This window comes from Homo sapiens, chromosome 19, assembly GCF_000001405.40.
Source record: "Homo sapiens chromosome 19, GRCh38.p14 Primary Assembly".
Lineage (NCBI taxonomy): Eukaryota > Metazoa > Chordata > Mammalia > Primates > Hominidae > Homo > Homo sapiens.
In genome coordinates this window covers 46,888,505-46,908,354 of record NC_000019.10, presented here as the reverse complement: position 1 = coordinate 46,908,354, position 19,850 = coordinate 46,888,505, and the positions used below count along the sequence as shown (strand labels likewise).

Below are 19,850 nucleotides of genomic sequence, written 5' to 3'. Positions count from 1 at the left end.
CTGAGATTCTTACCAAGTCAAGATACAAAAAAACAGCCGAGTCTTACCTTTGAAATTTCCTGGCATTAAGACCAATTTTACATTGATTTTCAAAAGGGTAAGTAAAACCTATAAAATTATTCCAGCAGTTGCTTCTAAGCAGTTATACTCTACTAATTTTTTTTTAAAACTTCTCACTAGGAAAAAAGTTCTTTTTGAAAGAACATTCTCTATATAAATGTCCCTGACGCAAGAAGAGTGGAGGCTGCGTCCAGCCAAATGTGCCTTGCCAACAAAGGACAGTGCTGAAGAAACAGGCATTTCTGTCAATGGGGAAAAATGGGTCAGCTTATTTTCGAGTCCAACAGTAAGGCTTACTATTTCCTGATGGCATGTTAGGATGACATGAGGATTTCAGCTCATTATTTCTAATTATTCTTCACTACTCACTTGCATTATTCTGTAAACTGCCAGTCCCAAAACAGGCTATCGCAAGTAATAAAAGTTATACCACATGTATATCCTTTTAAAAAGGATGGTTGGCTTTTATTTTATCTAATGCACCTGTACTGAAGCTAAGGCCAACCTAAGAAGCTAAGAAAAAGGGCCGGTGGCTCACACCTGTAATCCCAGCACTTTGGGAGGCAGAGGCGGGCGGATCACGAGGTCAGGAGATGGAGACCATCCTGGCTAACATGGTGAAACCCCGTCTCTACTAAAAATAAAAAAATTAGCCGGTCATAGTGGTGGGCGCCTGTAGTCCCAGCTACTCGGGAGGCTGAGACAGGAGAATGGCGTGAACCCGGGAGGCGGAGCTTGCAGTGAGCCGAGTTCGCGCCACTGCTGGACAGAGCGAGACTCCGTCTCAAAAAACAAACAAACAAACAAACAAACAAAAAAAGAAGCTAAGAAACAGAATGAATGGGGGCCGGGTGCGGTGGCTCACGCCTGTAATCCCAGCACTCTGGGAGGCCGAGGCGGGCGGATCACGAGGTCAGGAGATCGAGACCATCCTGGCTAACACGGTGAAATCCCGTCTCTACCAAAAATACAAAAATAAAATCAGCCGAGCGTGGTGGCGGGCGCCTGTAGTCCCAGCCACTCGGGAGGCTGAGGCAGGAGAATGGCGTGAACCTGGGAGGCAGAGCTTGCAGTGAGCCGAGATCGTGCCACTGCACTCCAGCCTGGCGACAGAACGAGACTCCGTCTCAAAAACAAACAAAATTTATTATAACATATTTCTTATTATTAATATTTTTTATTAAGAAAAAAGATTCTTTTTTTTAGACAGGGTCTCACTCTATCACCCAGGTTGGAGCCCAGTATGATATAATCACAACTCACTGCAGCCTCAACCTCCCCAGGATCAAGTGATCCTCTCACCTCAGCCGCCAGAGTAGCTGGGACTACAGGCATGTGCCATCGCGCCTGGCTAACTTCTGTATTTTTTGTAGAGATGGGGTTTTACCATGGTGCCCAGGCTAGTCTCGAACTCCTGGGCTCATGTGATCCGCCTACCTCAGCCTCCCAAAGTGCTGGGATTGCAGGTGTCACCTACTGCACCCAGCCAAAATATTATTTCTTATTCAAATATTTATCATCTGTATTTGAAAGCAGTGTTTTGGATTCCTGCTTTGAGACTAAGGAGATATAAAAGCCATTGGCTTTTATTTTATCTACTGCATCTGTACTGAAGCTAAGGCTAAGAAGCTAAGAAACAGAACGAATGGAACCAAGGAAAATACTAAATACAAAGTGGAGCTTCTGTTCTATTTCTGGACTTGGGTAGTGGTTATATTGGTATTCACTTTATAGTTGTTCAAATCGTACATACTTTATACACTTTTCTATACAATCTCCCCCTTCTACACTAGGCCCCTGCCTGGGGTCATGTCAAACAGGTGACTCTAATCCTGGCTGCATAGCAAGAGAGAAGAAATGCAGAGAAGCAGTGCCCTGGGGAGCCCTGGATGGAACTGGCAGGTTTTAAGACTCAACAGGTGGCATGTCAGACCTTTCAGCCTCAAGAGAGCAAGTCCAATTTGATCTGTTTCTGTTTATTTTTATGAGACAGGGTCTCACTCTGTCACCCACGCTGGAGTACAGTGGCACAATCATGGCTCACTGTAGCCTTGATCTCCTGGGCTCAAGCAATCCTCCCACCAAGCCTCCCAAGTAGCTGGGCCACCATGCCCGCCTAATTTTTTTAATTTTTATTTTTTGTAAAGACAGGATCTCACTATGTAGCCTAGGCTGGTGTAGAACTCCTGGGCTCAAGCAATCCTCTTGCCTTGGCCTCCCAAAGTGCTGGAGTCACAGGTGTGAGCCACCTTACCTAGCTTTTGATCTGTTTTGTATGTTGGTGTCCCACGTTAAAAAAAAAAAAAAATGTGGCCAGGCACGGTGGCTCACGCCTGTAATCCCAGCACTTTGGGAGGCTGAGACAGGTGGATCACAAGGTCAGGAGTTCAAGACCAGCCTGGCCAAGATGGTGAAACCCCATCTCTACTAAAAACACAAAATTAGCTGGGCACAGTGGCTCACGCCTGTAATCCCAGCACTTTGGGAGGCTGAGGTGGGCGGATCATGTGAGGTTAGGGGTTCAAGAACAGCCTGGCCAACATGGTGAAACCTCGTCTCTACTAAAAATACAAAAAAATTAGCCAGGCATGGTGGCATGTGCCTGTAGTCCCAGCTACTTAGGAAGCTGAGGCACCAGAATCGTTTGAACCTGGGAGGTGGAGGTTGCAGTGAGCTGAGATCGCGCCATTGCACTCCAGCCTGGGTGACAGAGTAAGACTCTGTCTTGGGGGGGGGGGGTGGAATACAAAAATTAGCTGGGCGCGGTGGCAGGCGCCTGTAGTCCCAACTACTCGGGAGGCTGAGGCAGGAGAGTCTCTTGAACCCCGGCGGCAGAGGTGGCAGTGAGCCAAGATCGCGCCACTGCACTCCAGCCTAGGTGACAGAATGAGACTCCATCTATTAAAAAAAAAAAAAAAAAAAGTTTAAGTTCTACTTTTAGTGGAGATGAGGTTTCACAGTCTTGGCCAGGCTGGCCTCGATCTCCTGATCCACCCGCCTCAGCCTCCCAAAGTGCTGAGATTATAGGCGTGAGCCACCACGCCCAACCTACAGTGTTTTCTTTTTGTTTGTTTTTGTTTTTAAGAAGTTCAAAAAACTTCATGGTTCAAAAACCCATTTAATGCTCAGACATTTGGTGTTCTAATTTCCAAGCTAGGCCAGGAGACAAGAATCAGAAAGAGCCTTGTAATCTGTCTCCTAAACCTTTTCTTCTCCTCCTCTCATTTGGTAAGCCTATCCAGATTAGTAACTACTGAGACAGAGAGAAATGAAATAACTCAGCTAGATAGACAGGAACCCCAGTCCAGAACCCAGGTCTCCTGACACCACCCCCAGCTCTCGTCCCTCCACTCCCCCGCACTGCCCTGGCTGGAGAACAGGAACGCGGAGCATAGGCACATATGGTGGGAGACGCTGGGGGCAAGTCTGTGGAGGGTCCTGACACGCTAAAGACAGTCTGGACTTCATCCTCTGAGGAACCACAGGCTTCTGAGCAAGAATGGCTTGGTCAGGACCGGGCTGGAGAAGGGAATTCCGAGAGCAATCTGAGCCCTCTCCCCCGCCACCTCTGTCCTGCTGTTTCACTCTCATCCACTGGATAAACGCTTCCCATGTAAAGGCCAACTCCAACCTGGTCATAATAAGCATCAGGAAAAACAACTGCTTTACGATGGAATCATGGAAATGCTGACACAGTGGTGGTGTGAGATGCTCCTTTGAAAGGCCTTGTCAGGCCCAGTCTTTGTAATTTCATGGTGGCTCACAGGAAGCGCCTGGGAGCCAGATGCTTTCTGCCTGTGCTCAAGGCCATAATTTCCTTCCCATACTTAAACTGATGACCCTGTGTCTCGCTGACAGAAGATTAGCCAAAGGAACAGGGCAGATAAAGAAGAAGCAAAATCTGAGGAAAACTGGCTGATTTGAAAAAAAATTCCTAAGATTCTTCTTGAGATGAACAACTAAGAAAACTTCCAGATGAACATGATCTGCTGTCTCTGAATGAAAGCCACTGGAAGGCAGGCCAAGCTGGGAATGCTGGCAGCCAGCTCCCTCACGTCACAGATGCGGAAGCTGAAGGGGAGAGGGGAAGGCAGTCCCAGAAACTGCTGTCAGAGCTGTCTGTGCCCTAAGAAAGGCTTTGCGCCCACTTCCCACCCCCATCCCAGTGCTGTCTCTCCACACTCTGCAGAGATGATCACATTAATCAAGACCCTAGAGTCAAAGTGACTGGGAAGGGGACAAAAAAGAATGACATCCAGCCAGTCCCATTTATTAAAGCAATAATCTCCACCCCTCACTAAATGTATACTTCTATAAAATTCTGCTTGTATGTTCTATATGGCACCTAGCCACCACTCAACACTTCAAGATATATTTCAGAGAAAAAAAAAAAGGCGAATTTCAAACTATAAGTAACATATCCTGTTGGGGAGCCCAAAAATAACTAAGAAAACATTTGTGATCATACAAGGAACTGAATAAGTGCATTTTCTATAAAGTGCTAGCTTCATGATTTTCCTTTAGATAAGAGACCAAAATAGTAGTTTGTTCTTCCTTATCAATCGTCATTCCTTAGAAAGTGCTTGGCCAGTAATATCAGGAAGATCAACGAGTCATCTCTTATCACTGGTTTAGCCCTCGGACTTAAGAAGGAAATCAGGTCTGGCCTACTCTTCCATGACAGCTGTCCTAATTGCTAGAGGAAGTCACCTTGACCTCATATATTTGGCTGCTATTCAGAATACCATGTCTCTTGGTCCAAATTATCAAAAGCATACATTAGGTAACAACATACCTTTCTCAGTTACATATGCACAGAATGCCCAAGATAAACCCACTGAGTGGTTCCCTCCGTGGCCTCACCTCCCACTCCCTGGCTCTGAATGGCCCTGGGAAGAGCACAGAGCAGCTACTTTCTTTTGAATCGTCTTAAAATCAATGCACAACAACGTACATCACCATTATAAAAACCCTGTCAGCAGACCGACTCTGACTCCCACGGCATTTACTATGTTAAAATCTTATGGGAAACTTGTACCATAGCTAATATGATTACTGTGTGCAGAATGAAGAGAGGGTTTGGGGATGAGTAGGTGTCTCAACCCAGTTCCTTCACTATTGCATGTGTCTCCCCAATGCCGCAGACCACTCCCCGGCCCCTGAATCCATCTGTGATTTCTGCTTTCTGCTCAGAAAACCCACTGTCAAGGCCTTAACTTAAGAGAGCCTGTCAGAGCCTTAGCTTTGCCATCTCTAACACCACGATCCCTTCTGGCTATTACCGCTCCTCAAGGGTACAGGTGTGGGCACAGAAACATATATAATCTGTTCATACCAAAATGCGATATCATACACACCAACCCTTTAGTTTTCTTCACTGAGGACATCATAGATTGCATTCAGATAAAGAGCCCTTTTTGCCCAGTGAAGAATCATATACAATAGAATAAGGTGGCATTTTTCTTGCTGTGTATGTTGGGGGGAGTTTTGTGATAACTTGTTGTTCCTTGAATGTAAATATTCCTCTACTGTCTTATTTAAAACATTAGAGGGGGCCGTGGCGATTAAAATATATGTGTCATGGCTTGTCAAGCCTCATGACTACCTGAGTTCAAAAAACAGGCTGCTCAACTCCATTTTCCTTACTGACTGTAACAGAAAGCTAAGCTCAGCCAGTTGAATCATGAGAGCTAAAAGCCAAGCAAGGTACAGCTAGGCTCAAAAGCTGTATGTCCACATTCCATACCAGTAAGGCAGCCGGGAGCAGATGGCACAGACCAGGCTACAATGTGTTCAATATGGCCTTCTCACACCCCTTTCTCCGCTCCCCTAACCCAAACCTGCATTCCTACAGGCACAAACCCCACTCCATAGTAGAATACAGTAAGGCCAGTGTTGTCTGGAGTCACAAAGTTTTATATATGATTGCTTCTAATTAAAGATCATTTGATTTTAAGAACTTAATAAAAAGGCCATAAACCTGTATCATTCCATAAGAATGCCAAGAATGCTAAGTACCCAACTAATATTCTTCCAGAGTGACTTTTATTAAAGGCTGCCTCTACTACTTTGCCAACTAACATGTCAGGTGGCAGAAACATTCCCACCTATCACAGGCTACTCAACTTTAAAAAGCAAAGGTAAGTGAAAAGGCCTTCTTTAAGTAATCAAATCAGCTCAAATTCCTCCAGCAAAAAATCCTAGTACAAACAGACTCAAAAATGGCAAAATCAAAGTTTAAAAAGCCACTTACAGTGCCAACAAGTGATTCAGAAGAATTCTGAGAAAGGTAATATTAACATTTTAGTGGTAGAACACTTGGAGAGGAGCCAGGAAGCCTAGACTCTCTCCTGGCTAGGTCATTAAATCTTGCAGGGGGAGGGAAAGCATACACAGATAAAAACTAGTTAAATGGCATCTCACAGCCAAGCTATCTTGACAGCTCTCATCTGTCAGCAGGATCACTGGACAATGATGTTCTTCAAGGAGACAGGTAAGTCTCTAGGGGCTAATGATAACCTAAGTGCATGCAAGTATAATCAGAATGATAACAATCAATGCCTACCCTTGGAATGGGCACTCAAATTCAACAGCTGAGAAAGCCAACGTATCTGCTGCCAGGGAATCTAGATCGCCTGGATCCCCACAGCCTTACGCGTTCTTCACATGTATACTCTTGCTCTCCTAGAGCAGCAAGTTATCTTTTAAAGAACAGATTTGATCATTTTTTTTGTGTGAGACAGAGTCTAAGCTCTGTCACCCAGGCTGGAGTGCAGTGGCGCGATCTCGGCTCACTGCAACCTCTGCCTCCCGGGTTCAAGTGATTCTCCTGCTCCAGCCTTCCAAGTAGCTGGAACTACAGGCACGCGTCACCATGCCTAGCTAATTTTTGTATTTTTAGTGGAGATGGGGTGTCACCATGTTGGCCAGGCTGGTCTCGAACTCCTGACCTCAAGTGATCCACCTGCCTCGGCCTCCCGAAGTGCTGGGATTACAGGGGTGAGCCACTATGCCTGGCCTGCTCTTATATTAAACCCTCAAATTCTTATTCCCTATGTGATCTCATCTCCACCATTCTGCCTTTTTCTCACTAGCCACTGTAGCCTTCCTTGGGTTCCCTGGATGCCCTCATTTATTTATTCTCATTCGCCCATTCAATCATTCAATGAAAATTACTGAGCAAGCACCTACTACTGTGCCAGGCACTGTACTAGGCATGTGGATACAGCAATGAACAAAAGAGACAAAGATGCCTGCCTCATGGAACTTAAATTCTAGCAGAGGGAAACAGACAATTACAAAGCAAACTTAGGAGGGAAATAGAATGGGGAGAAAGCCCCGGCACGTGGTAGAGGAGTATGCACAGAGCTGAAAGGGATGGCCAGAGCAGGTCCCACTGAGCAGGAGGCGTGGGAGCAGCCATGAGGGAGGCAAGGGAGTTAAGAATCTGGGCATCTGGGGGACAGCATTCCAGGCAGCTGAACAGCAACTGCAAGGGCCCTAAGGCCGAGGAATGTTTTTTTTTTCTTTAATTTCTATTTCTCATTAAATTGTTAACTCCAAAAAGATGGGGATTTAATGTCTTATCTATTCTGCTCCTCATGTGACCTCAGCACCACACACACTGCTGGCTCAATAAATACCTCCTAAATGGAATTAATGAATTAGTGTCCAAAGAAAAAACCAAAAACCTGTCCACAAGTAATTTAAGTATTACCTCAAGTTATCAAGGCCCTGCAGAACTTGTTGCACAGGTTTCAAATTGGCTAATAAAGGCTGGGCATGGTGGCTCACGCCTGTAATCCCAACAGTTTGGGAGGCCAAGGTGGGCGGATCACTTGAGGCCACGAGTTCGAGACCAGCCTGGCCAACAGGGCAAAACTCCGTCTCTACTACAAATACAAAAATTACCCAGGTGTGGTGGCACATGCCTGTAATTCCAGCTACTTGGGAGGCTGAGGCAGAGAATCACTTAAACCTGGGAGGAGGAGGCTGCAGTGAGCCGAGATTGCACCACTGCACTCCAACTTGGGTGACAGAGTGAGACTCCATCTCAAAAAAAAAAAAAAAAACCCAAAAAACAAAAAACAAATTTATGAATAAAGTTTATGATCAAAGTGAATTTAATGCCACTTCAAGGAAGATCCTAACAATACCATGATGAGTCTAACTTATCAAGGCATTATCCCAGAGAAGTAAAAGCATAAAAAAGAGAGAACTAAGACCTTTTCAAGAGCATAAGGTAATCAACAAATTCAATTTATATAGAAAAATCAACAGAAAATCAGAATTCATTATTTATTCCAATTACTTGCCCCAAGCCATTGACAGGTACATCAGTTAAAAGCTTGTTTTGAATGAACTGTTTATCTCCAACTCCACTACCATAGCCTCAGTTCTTAAGACAGAAACAATTCATTCAAGACAACTTTGTCTTGAATGTACAGGTTTTTACCACAGTCCTCAAGCCCTTAAAGCTTGAGCTATCATAAGAGTTTCCTCATTGGTCTATCCCAGCTCAAATCACTGTGTAAAGTGCTATGGGTTAATCTTCTTCTTTTTTTTTTTGTTTTTGTTTTTGTTTTTGTTTTTTTTTGTACAGGGTCTCACTCTGTCACCCAGGCTGGAGTGTAGTGGCGCGATTATGGCTCACCACAGCCTCAACCTCCCAGGCTCAAGCGATCCTCCCGCTGCAGTTACCTGAGTAGCTGGGACTAGATGTGTGGGTGTGCTACCATGCCCGGCTAATTTTTGTATTTTTTTTGTAGAGACAAGGTTTCACCATGTTGGCCAGGCTGGTCTGGAACTCCTGGGCTCAAATGATTGCCAGCCTCAGCCTCCCAAAATGTTGGGATTACAGGCGTGAGCTACCACACCCAACATGGGTTAATTGTAAGACAGCTTTTACTACCACAATCTCAATCCAATTTGAACCCAACCTTATTTTCTACCTTCATTTCTAGCTATCCTTCAAAAAGAACTCTATGGTCCAGCTAAGCTATTCTCTGAACATGCCATGAGCATTCCTGCCTCCACACCACCACTCTGGCTATCCCCTTATCTGGAATGCCACTGTGCCTCTTCTCCACCTCTCTGAATGTTATCAGTGTAAAATAATGCCTTCTCTGCCCATCTCCGTTATGAGAAATGCATCACCCAAGCAATTACAGCATTCATTTGGTCAAACGCGCCCTTCTACATTCTCCTCCGTATCAGCAGAACTGAAAGCCTGCACACTACATTTCCCAGACTCCTTTGCCAGCTGGCTTCCACAGTTAGGTTTTCAAAGGCTGGAGATTGGTTGGCAAGTGGAAGGATAACACCACTTTTTTCCTGTTACTGCTCTGTCTTGGGGAGCAGCAGCAGCAGGAGCAGTGAACAACTATGGAAGAATGCAGGCAACTACACACACCGCAGGTTCCAGCACATCAGCGCAGTTTTGGCTTCTGGGTTCCTGGTGAACTGCAGCAATACAGCTCCAACAGCAGCAGCAGCAGCAGCAGCAGCAGCAGCAGCAGCTCATCTGTGCATGGAGGCTCCTGGGTTCTAGCCCACAGGCAGCTTTCTCATCTCTGGATAACAACCCTCTTCTGCATTTTGCTCCTCCCAAGCCTTTCCAGCACCTTTGTAATAAATCCCTTGCATTTAAGTCCCTTCCTGCTGGAACTATCTAGAGTGGTTTCTACTTTCCTGATTGGACAATAACTGATACAATAACAGAGAATGAGGAAATAAAAACAGCAATATTAACTAAGATGGAAAATGAAATATAAAATGACAAAGGAATGAGGACTAGCAATTTTAAAAAATATCCCAGAAAATGAAATTCCAGAAAATTTCTCCCTAGGTATATTCCAATTAATTTTTGAGTTCTAAAAATGAAGATGCTAGTTGGCTGTGTATTTAGTTGTTTTTCTTTTTAATTTTTTAGGAAAGTCAATAAGTATATTTTTTTGACTAAATCGAGTTTTTGTGGAATTGGGAGAATCCTTCCTTTATGTTTCCTCAGAACCTTACACACAGAGGGCACTTCTTTTTGTTTTTTTTTTTTTTTGAGACGGAGTCTCGCATTGTAGCCAGGCTGGAGTGCAGTGGCGCGATCTCGGCTCACTTCAACCTCTGCCTCCCAGGTTCAAGTGATTCTCCTGGCTCAGCCTCCCAAGTAGCTGGGATTACAGGCATGCGCCACCATGCCCGGCTAATTTTTGTATTTTTAGTAGAGACAGGGTTTCACCATGTTAGCCGAACTCCTGACCTCAGGTGATCCACCTACCTCGGCCTCCAAAAGTAGGCACTTCTTAGGTAACGTATCTGCCTGGTGACTGGTATAAGGCTTTGGAATTCACAGATTGGGAATGAAAACCATGTAAATGGTCACTCTAATTCTAAAAAGCAACTTGAAAACAAATCTCATCCAAAGCACTCAGCAAAGGATTCCAAAGCCCTTTCAGCCCTGAAATGTAGCCACTGGTGAGGGAAGGTGGAAGAAGTTCAACTGACACATGGGGCAGAGATTTTTGCCTCTTCCTTGTCAAAGCTCCCCTTGACCCTGTAAAGGCTGTTTCTAAGTTTCTGTAGGGCCTCTTTTTTTTTTTTTTTGGTTAAAGATCTAGCCTGAAAATCCCATTACAAAAACTGCCTAGAACACAGTTTACCTTTCTTGGAAAGATGAAGAACCAAGTTAATCCAGAATACACTCAAATCCCCTGGCTCTTGAAAGTCTCAGTTTTCAACCTGCTTGGAGATTGTTTAGACAAATCTCTAAGTCTTAACTAAAATTCATTTTCAGGTATTATATTAAGCCAAGATAAATAGAAAGTGTTGGAGGTCGTAAAAAAAAAAAAAAAGACAAAATAAACCCACTACCTTCAAGGGTTAACAACTACTAAAACTATACTTATGGCCCTTCATCACTGCATTTGCTAACCCAGCTTTCCATTAACAAAAAATGCCTCATGAAATGGACACCTTGGAGAAAATAAGTGCACCCCAATAAGTGCACAAAGCAGCTTGACTCTTGCTGATTTCCAGGATGACTGATGAAAATGGGCCATCAGTTGTTGTCATTTTCATACTTCCTTTGACAACATGCTGAAGGCTGGGCGCGATGGCTCACGCCTGTAACCCCAGCACTTTGGGAGGCTGAGGCGGGTGGATTGTTTGAGTTTAGGAGTTCAAGACCAGTCTGGCAACATGGCAAAACCCTATCTCTACCAAAAAAAAAAAAAAAAAAATTAGCCAGGTGTGGTGGCATGCGCTTGTAGTCCCAGCTACTTGGGAGGCTGAGGTGGGAGGATCCCTTGAGCCTGGGAGGCGGAGGTTGCAGTGAGCTAAGATCGCGCCAATGCACTCCAGACTGAGTGACAGAACAAGAAGCTGTCTCAAAAGAAAGAAAGAAAAAAAGACAACATGCCCAGTAGATAAATGCTTGAACATTTTTAGCTGGTCCATTATTACTTCTAAAAACCTTACCATAGGAAATCATGCCCTACAATCCATATTAAGCATTTCTCACAGTAACCCAACAGAGCAGCTACTATTATAATCCCCATTTTACAGATGAGAAAACAGGCTTGCAGAGGTCAAGAGACTCGTTCAAGATCACCCGGCTTAGTATGGCCCCAGCTGCCTGCCTCTGAGGCCCACACACGTGGCTTAACCCCAATACTGCACTGCTGCAAAGCCAGAATGGACAAAAACAGCTGCTGCACAGCGTGAGCTTTCTGGAGAAAACAGAAGCTACAACTGCTCTAATCCACTTGCTCTTTTACCAAAGCTCTCCACTGTGAGGGAAACAGTCTCTTATGTACCTAGATGCAAAACTTCATAATATATTTCCCACAATATTTTGTATATGTACCTTATGCTGCTCAAAGTACTATTACAAAACTTGCCTTCTTAGCTTTTATTTGAGACAGGGACTTGCTGTTGCCCAGGTTGGAGTGCAGGTGCAGTGGCGCAATAACCACTCACTGCAGCCTTGACCTCCCGGGCTCCGGTGATACACCTCAGCTGGGACTACAGGTGCACACCATCACGCCTGGCTAATTTTTTGTAGAAACAGGGTTTCACCATGTTGCCTAGGCTGGTCTGAACTCCTGAGTTCAAGTGATCCTCCCACCTAGGCCTCCCAAAGTGCTTGGGATTACAGGTGTGAGCCACTGTGCTGGGCTTCCTTATAGCTTTTTTTTTGAGACGGGGTTTCATTCTTGTCACCGAGGATGGAGTGCAGTGGCGCGATCTTGGCTCACTGAAACCTCTGCTTCCTGGGTTTAAGCGATTCTCCTGCCTCAGCCTCCCGAGTAGCTGGGACTACAGGCATGTGCCACTAAGCCCAGCCAATTACGTATTTTTAGTAGAGATGGGGTTTCACCATGTTGGCCAGGCTGGTCTCAAACTCTTGACCTCAGGAGATCCGCCTGCCTCAGCCTCCCAAAGTGCTGGGATTACAGGCATGAGCCACCGCACCTGGCCTTCCTCACAGATTTTTAAATCCACCCGGGAAGGGTAAGTATTCTCTTCATTTCACAGACAAGGGCATTGGGACCTGGAGACTAAATTATTTGCCCAAAGTCAGAGGATTCAATATGCTCTCTCCTCAATAGGATTACTGATATCACCCAAGCCTCACAGAAGAACAGAATTTCTGCCAGAGTTAACCATAAAGACCATTTCTAATTGATGGGAAATGGTCGCCTTTCAACTTCAGTAACTTGCAATTAAGGATATCATTTTACTTGCCTGAGCATTAAATTGTGAGAAAACACCAACGTGCACTTTTCTTAATTTCCCAAACCATAGAAGGGATAAGATGCTATAAGATTTTGCCCGGCTGGGCGCGGTGGCTCACGCCTGTAATCCCAGCACTTTGGGAGGCCGAGGCGGGTGGATCACGAGGTCAGGAGATCGAAGACTATCCTGGCTAACACGGTGAAACCCCGCCTCTACTAACAATACAAAAAAATTAGCCGGGCGTGGTGGTGAGCGCCTGTAGTCCCAGCTACTCGGGAGGCTGAAGCAGGAGAATGGCGTGAACCCGGGAGGTGGAGCTTGCAGTGAGCCGAGATCGCGCCACTGGACTCCAGCCTGGGTGACAGAGCGAGACTCCGTCTCAAAAAAAAAAAAAAAAGATTTTGCCCTTAAATTTCAGCTTTTTTCCCCCTCATCCAATTGCAAAAATTCATTTCTATTTACACAGAAAGTATACCTTTAAAAAAAAGTTACCAAAAAAATATGAAGCTCACTATTCTGGAAATACTCTTTCAAGGCTTCAGGAAAAGTACCTTTCCTACCAACTAGCAGTATTCACATAAATCCTAAGGGTCTGGCCCTCCTATAAGGATGATGATAAGTTAAATACTATGGGAAGAAAATCAGTCTCAAATTTAAAGGAATTAAAATGCCTGTAGTAAAAATCAGTGAGTAGGTGAAAATCTAGAAAATCTCTCTCTATTATCTCAATCTCAAGGACCATTACAAAACGGCAGAGTAAGACATGACATAGGAGACAGCAGAAAAAGATACATGGCTTTCCTTTCACTAAAAGTATGGCCGGGCGTGGTGGCTTGCACCTGTAATCCCAGCATTTTGGGAGGCTGAGGCGGGCAGATCACCTGAGGTCAGGAGTTCTAGACCAGCCTGGTCAACATGGTGAAATCCCATCTCCAATAAAAATACAAAAATTAGCTGGGTGTGGTGGCACATACCTGTAGTCCCAGCTACTCGAGAGGCTGAGGCAGGAGAATCGCTTGAACCCAGGAGGCAGAGGTTACAGTGAGCAGAGATCGTGCCACTGCACTCCAGCCTGGGCAACAGAGCGACTCCGTCTCCAAAAAAAAAAAAAAAAAAACCAAAAAACAGGATAGAGTGTAAACCAAAGTCAATTACATCTAAAGTTTTTCAAAGGAAAAAATAAAAACTGCTCCAAGGAATGAGTCATAAAGTGATATTTATAAATCAAGAATATCTTAGAAATTTCACATCATTGATCCACTCTCAAAAACTAACCTCAAGGTAAGAATCTCACTTCATCAAGTTATTTTTTCTAAGTTCACCAGATCTAAAGAAAGCTTGACTTTGTCCATGAGCTTCCAAGTAGTGTGGAAAATAATTTTCCTTGAAATCCACAGGCAAGGGATTGCATCCTAATTGCATCATTTGCTCTTTGTTTTGAGGATACTGGAGATAATTCTAAGGACAAGGGAGAGAGTTGTGCTTAAAAATACTCAGCCTAATCACAAAATGGAACCACTTCAAGAACAACTGCACCCTGAATTTATGGTAAAAAAAAATCCCAAATCAGTAGAGAAGTTTGGTTTTTCCCTGACAAGCAGCCTTCACCAATATAAAGTTGTATTTAAGAATAATGGCAGAGACAGTTTGAAATCTTAAAAAAAAAAAAAAAAAAAGAGAAAGAACGAACGAACGAACTTATGTTAAGGCAGAAACAAAATATCCAAAATATCCATAAATAAATGGACTTCCCCCCCAATACATTTTTCACTGGTGAAGATGATATTACAAACCTACATCCCAATCTAGCTAAAGGATCACTTATTGAAAGATTTAAGTCCCCAAATCTACCTAAACCCTGGGATCATTAGTTCATACTCCTATTGGTACAATTCAATTTTAAACTTTTAAAAAACCTAAGTCAAAACCAAGGGGGGCAAAACCAAGGGGGGAGAGAAGTATTCATAATAAACAAGGTAAGTGTGTTTTATAATCTTTAAAGTGCTTTCTCATTTGATCCTCAAAACAATCCCAAGCAGAAGTTGGTGCCCATTCTTCAGATGACAGAATCACAGCATTTTAAGGCTAGAAAGGACTAACTTCCCACCCAATGCTTCCCACTAGAAAAGAAGGGGTCTTGTCTGGTGGCAACCTACTATATTCCCAGGACCTAGAGTAGTACCTGGTATACGGTAGATGCTCATCAACATCACCTCTATTATATGTTCAAAAAGTCCAACCCGAACAGTTTTTGAAGGTGTTAACTCCAGTCCAGAAGTGATATGACCTGGCCAAGACCTTATGGCTGGCTACCTGTTCCCCACACTCCTGCTTCCTAACTCAGGGCAGGCTCCTCCCCCTATTCAGGTTGTCAGTGAAACTCTAAGGGTTTCCCAAGCTCCCCCGCAGAATTCACTGGTATCTGAAAATTTTAATTTATAGCCTTCTCCCTTACACAGGTGTTTGTTTCCTTCATATGTATCACTCTTCACTTAGTTCCACAACCCTTTATTTAGCACCTACCATGTGCAAAGGACCATGACGGTGAAGGATCCGAAGATGAGAGTCAGTGCTCTCCAGGGAGTTATAAGCTGATGAGAACTCTAAAAGGCAACACCAGGAAGCTCTGATGCATGGAGAACTGGACTTACAAATGTTGGGAGAAGAGATACTCTAGGCAGAGGGACCTCATGAACATACAAAGCCTGAACACAGTGTTCAGGAAAAAGCAAGTGGTCCGGCCTGATTGCAAGGTACAGTGCAGAGACGCCCCAACTCAGAATCAACCTATGGAAAGAACTATGAGGACAAGCAGCTAACAATTATTTAGGTGGTTTCTTACTTCTTACTTCCTCCTGATACCACTTTCCTTTATACTTGTCCCACCTACTCCTGGCAGAAAAAAAAAAAAAAAAAGCAGCCAACAAAAACTTCTGAATATTCTCCCTGTATCTTCATTACATACTTCGTACTTTAGAAAATTGCTCTCAGTAATATCTTATTATAATGGACAATTTCAGGATCAAAGGTACCAACTGTGGCTCCATACCCACCCAACAGGTCCATTAACCAATTTTTTTTTTTTTTTTTTTTTGAGACAGGGTTTCACTGTTACCCAGGCTGGAGTACAGTGGCGTGATCATGGCTCACTACAGCCTAGACTTCCCTCCAGTGATCCTCCCACCTCAACCTCCCAAGTAGCTAGGACTACAGGTGTGTGCCAGCACACCTGGCTTTTTTTTTTTCTTTTTTTTTTTTTTGAGACAAAGTCTCGCTCTGTCGCCCAGGCTAGGTGCAGTGGTGCGATCTCGGCTCACTGCAACCTTTGCCTCCCGGGTTCAAGTGATTCTCCTACCTCAGTCTCCCAAGTAGCTTGGATTACAACAGGCATGCCACCAGGCCTGGCTAATTTTTCTTTTTTTTTTTTTTTTTTTTTTTTAGTAGAGACAGGGTTTCACTACGTTGGCCAGGCTGGTCTCGAACTCCTGACCTCAGTGATCTGCCTGCCTCGGCCTTCCAAAGTGCTGGGATTACGGTTGTGAGTCACTGTGCCCGGCCAACACCTGGCTAATTTTTGTATTTTCGGTAAAGACAGGATTTCATCACGTTGCCCAGGCTGGTCTCGAACTCCTGAACTCAAGCAATCTGCCTGCCTCGGCTTCCCAAAGTGGTGGGATTAAGGCGTGAGCCATCGCGCCTGGCCAGTTAACCAATTCTTAATCTTTTGGCAGTTAAGAATCCCTTTGACAATCTGATAAAAACTTGAACACTTTCTCCCAGAAAATAGAATGGACTTACACAAAAAATTCAGGAACCCTGGATTAAGAACCTTTGCCCTGGCCGGGCACAGTGGCTCATGCCTGTAATCCCAGCACTTTGGGAGGCTCAGGCGGGCAGATCACGATGTCAAGAGATTGAGACCATCCTGGCCAACATGGTGAAACTCCGTCTCTACTGAAAATACAAAAATTAGCTGGGCATGGTGGTGCTAGCCTGTAGTCCCAGCTACTTGGGAGGCTGAGGAAGGAGAATCGCTTGAACCCGGGAGGCGGAGGTTGCAGTGAGCCGAGATTGCACCACTGCACTCCAGCCTGGTTACAGAGCGAGACTCCATCTAAAAAAAAAAAACAAAAAAAAAAAACTTGCCCTAGCAAAAAGCCTAAGAAAAGTGGCCAAAAATGAGAGATTGAGCCACTGTTTCTAACTAGGAATTCCAAACTCCCCCATTCACATAAGTAGAATACTCCTTCTTCTGCACAACATAATAATTATCCTTAATGAATCAATAAAGTGAGGGAATTCCTCCATGGTTTATAATCCTCACCTGCTAGTAACAATACAACTTCCATTTATTGGGCTCTACTATGTGGCAGAAGTCCTGGAGGGCGGGTGATAGTTATATCCCCATTTTGTACATCAGAAAACCAAGGCTCAGAGGTATCAACTGACCTGGCCAAGGCTACCCAGATGGAAAGTGGCAGAGCTGGGTTTGGAACTCTGGTATTTTGATTTCCAAAGCCCAACTATCCTACCTCCCACCAGAGGGAAGCTTATTACCATACTGACTACTGGGAGACAGCAAAGAATATTGCCAAAGAGCCACAACCCAATCATTTCCATCTGCTCTTCTAGTAAGTAAACAGTCCAGTCCAAGGGTCCAGTCCAGTATTACACACCCTCTGGGCATCCAATAAATACCTCCTGAGTGACTAAGGGCAAACAGAACCGTATACTGTTGTCGACAGAAAAGTAGAGAAATAGAGTCAATAGTTTTTAAGTGAGTTCCATTTGAATACATGTGTCACAGCTACAGCCTCAGTCACTGTCGTGTTTCCAACTGTACCTCTCCAGTTTGGCAAAGGCCCCAAACACCTAATCTGTTACACCCTCTCATGCAAAGGTTTGCAACCCATCAATGAGCTAATGAGATGAATCAACAGTGAAATTTCAATGAAACATAGTCTAGATAACCTCTCCTGTGTTCCTGTTCTACCCTGTATATCCTCTATGACTTTGGCCATGACACTATATAATAGCTGTTCCCAGGAGACTAACAGCTACCATTTCTGAGCACTTACATGTGTATCACTAAAAGCCTCTAAGGGCCAGGATCTGGTCATTTCATCTCTCTATGACCACTGCCCAGCATGGGCCTCAGCATATAAATACATGACAAATGAATGAATACTTGCACCTAGAAATACAGTAATCATTATTTCAAATAGAAAGACATTTTTACTAAACAATGACAGAAAAGATGAAGATTTAAGAGCCATAATACCCAAGCTTCCAAAAAAGAAAGCTTACATACTCCTCCTTAGATGTTCAACAATAGAGTTCTTTGCATCAAGGACCCCTCCAAATAAGTATCAGGGAAAAATAAAAGGCAGGTCTCAATCTAGAACAGTAAAGTAAAACGGAGACAAAATGAGGCCATGGGGCTCAGTGTTACTCTAAGCCAGTGGTTGTAGTCTTTTTTGGGTCATGGATTCCTTTGAGAATTTGATGAAATCTACAAATTCTCTCTCTGCAGAAAATATACAGACCCCAAAATTCAGCATATACTCATTCTGAAAGCATCATAGACACCCCTGACCCAACCCCTTAAGGGTCTACAGAACCTCAAGTTCCTATAACCTTTGCTTAGAATCTGCACGTCTAGCCATGTCTCACTAGAGGCAACCCAAAACACTAACCATTTAGTTTTTCAGCGGTCACACTGTTAAAGAAAGCTGAAGCAATGGCTTTAGTACTTGTAATGTTTCACCACCCACCACAATGGCCTCTACTCTTTTTTTTTTTTTTTTTTTTTGAGACGGAGTCTCGCTCTGTCGCCCAGGCTGGAGTGCAGTGGCGGGATCTCGGCTCACTGCAAGCTCCGAATGGCCTCTACTCTTGTTTCCTGATTCATGTGGTTGAGCCACAGTAACACACTGTGGGGTGAGGATATTCTATTTTCCCCTACTAGAAAGTAAGAAATTCAAAAGCAGGAGCCATGTCTGATAGTGCTATGTATACCACCTAAGGCGGTGCACATTTTATATAATTAATCGCTGTTGATTGGTTTACTAAAGAACGGTTCTTTGTCTTTGTTTTTGTTTTTTTGAGATGGAGTTTCACTCGTCACCCAGGCTGGAGTGCAGTGGTGCGATCTTAGCTCACTGCAACCTCCACCTCCCAGGTTCAAGGGATTCTCCTGCCTCAGCCTCCTGAGTAGCTGGGACTACAGGCACACGCCACCACACCAACTTTTGTATTTTTAGTAGAGACAGGGTTTCACCATGTCGGCCAGGATGGTCTTGATCTACTGACCTCGTGAACTGCCCACCTCAGCCTCCCAAAGTGCTGGGATTACAGGTGTGAGCCACAGCGCCTGGCCATGCCTGGCTAATTTTTTGTATTTTTAGTAGAGACAGGGGTTTCATCATGTTGGCCAGGCTGGTCTCGAACTCCTGACCTTGGGTGATCCACCTGCCTCGGCCTCCCAAAGTGCAGGGGTTACAGGTGTGAGCCACCATGCCCAGTCCAAGAACAGGGTTTTTTGTTTTGCTTTGTTTTGTTTTGAGACGGAGTCTCGCTCTGCCACCCAGGCTGGAGTGCAGTGGCGTGATCTTGGCTCACTGCAACCTCCACCCCAGTGATTCTCCTGCCTCAGCCTCCTGAGTAGCTGGTACTACAGGCACGTGCCACCACCCCTGCCTAATTTTTTTTTTTTTTTTTTTTTTGTATTTTTAGTAGAGACAGAGTTTCACCGTGTTAGCCAGGATGGTCTCGATCTCCTGGCCTAGTGATCTGCCCGCCTCAGCCTCCCAAAGTGCTGGGATTACAGGCATAAGCCACCACACCCGGCCAAAGAACAGGTTTTAAACAACCTACACATTATCTTTTATGGTAAAATGAGCTGTAAATTCACATAGTACAGGAAAAGATAATGCTACATAACTAAGCAGATTTTAAAAAACAAAACATTTTCCTAAATTGGACCCCTGGGACCTTGAAATATAAGAATAAGCCTTACAAAATGTGCTTTCTCACCTTTATGGTGCTGAGTTTGTCTC

At 44.4% G+C, this 19,850-nt stretch overlaps 1 protein-coding gene across 3 annotated transcripts in view, besides 1 other annotated feature; it reads right to left on the bottom strand.

Annotated features, from left to right (window-relative positions):
• The window catches only part of ARHGAP35 (Rho GTPase activating protein 35), a 144,081-nt gene that overhangs the window by 96,723 nt on the left and 27,508 nt on the right, over positions 1–19,850 (bottom strand). The window lies entirely within an intron of this gene.
• Positions 15,281–15,360: a silencer, noted in NCBI's record as "silent region_10834". NCBI's record gives its function as "represses an Ori minimal core promoter by ATAC-STARR-seq in GM12878 lymphoblastoid cells {active_cell/tissue: GM12878}" and the evidence as "EXISTENCE:reporter gene assay evidence [ECO:0000049][PMID:35858748]".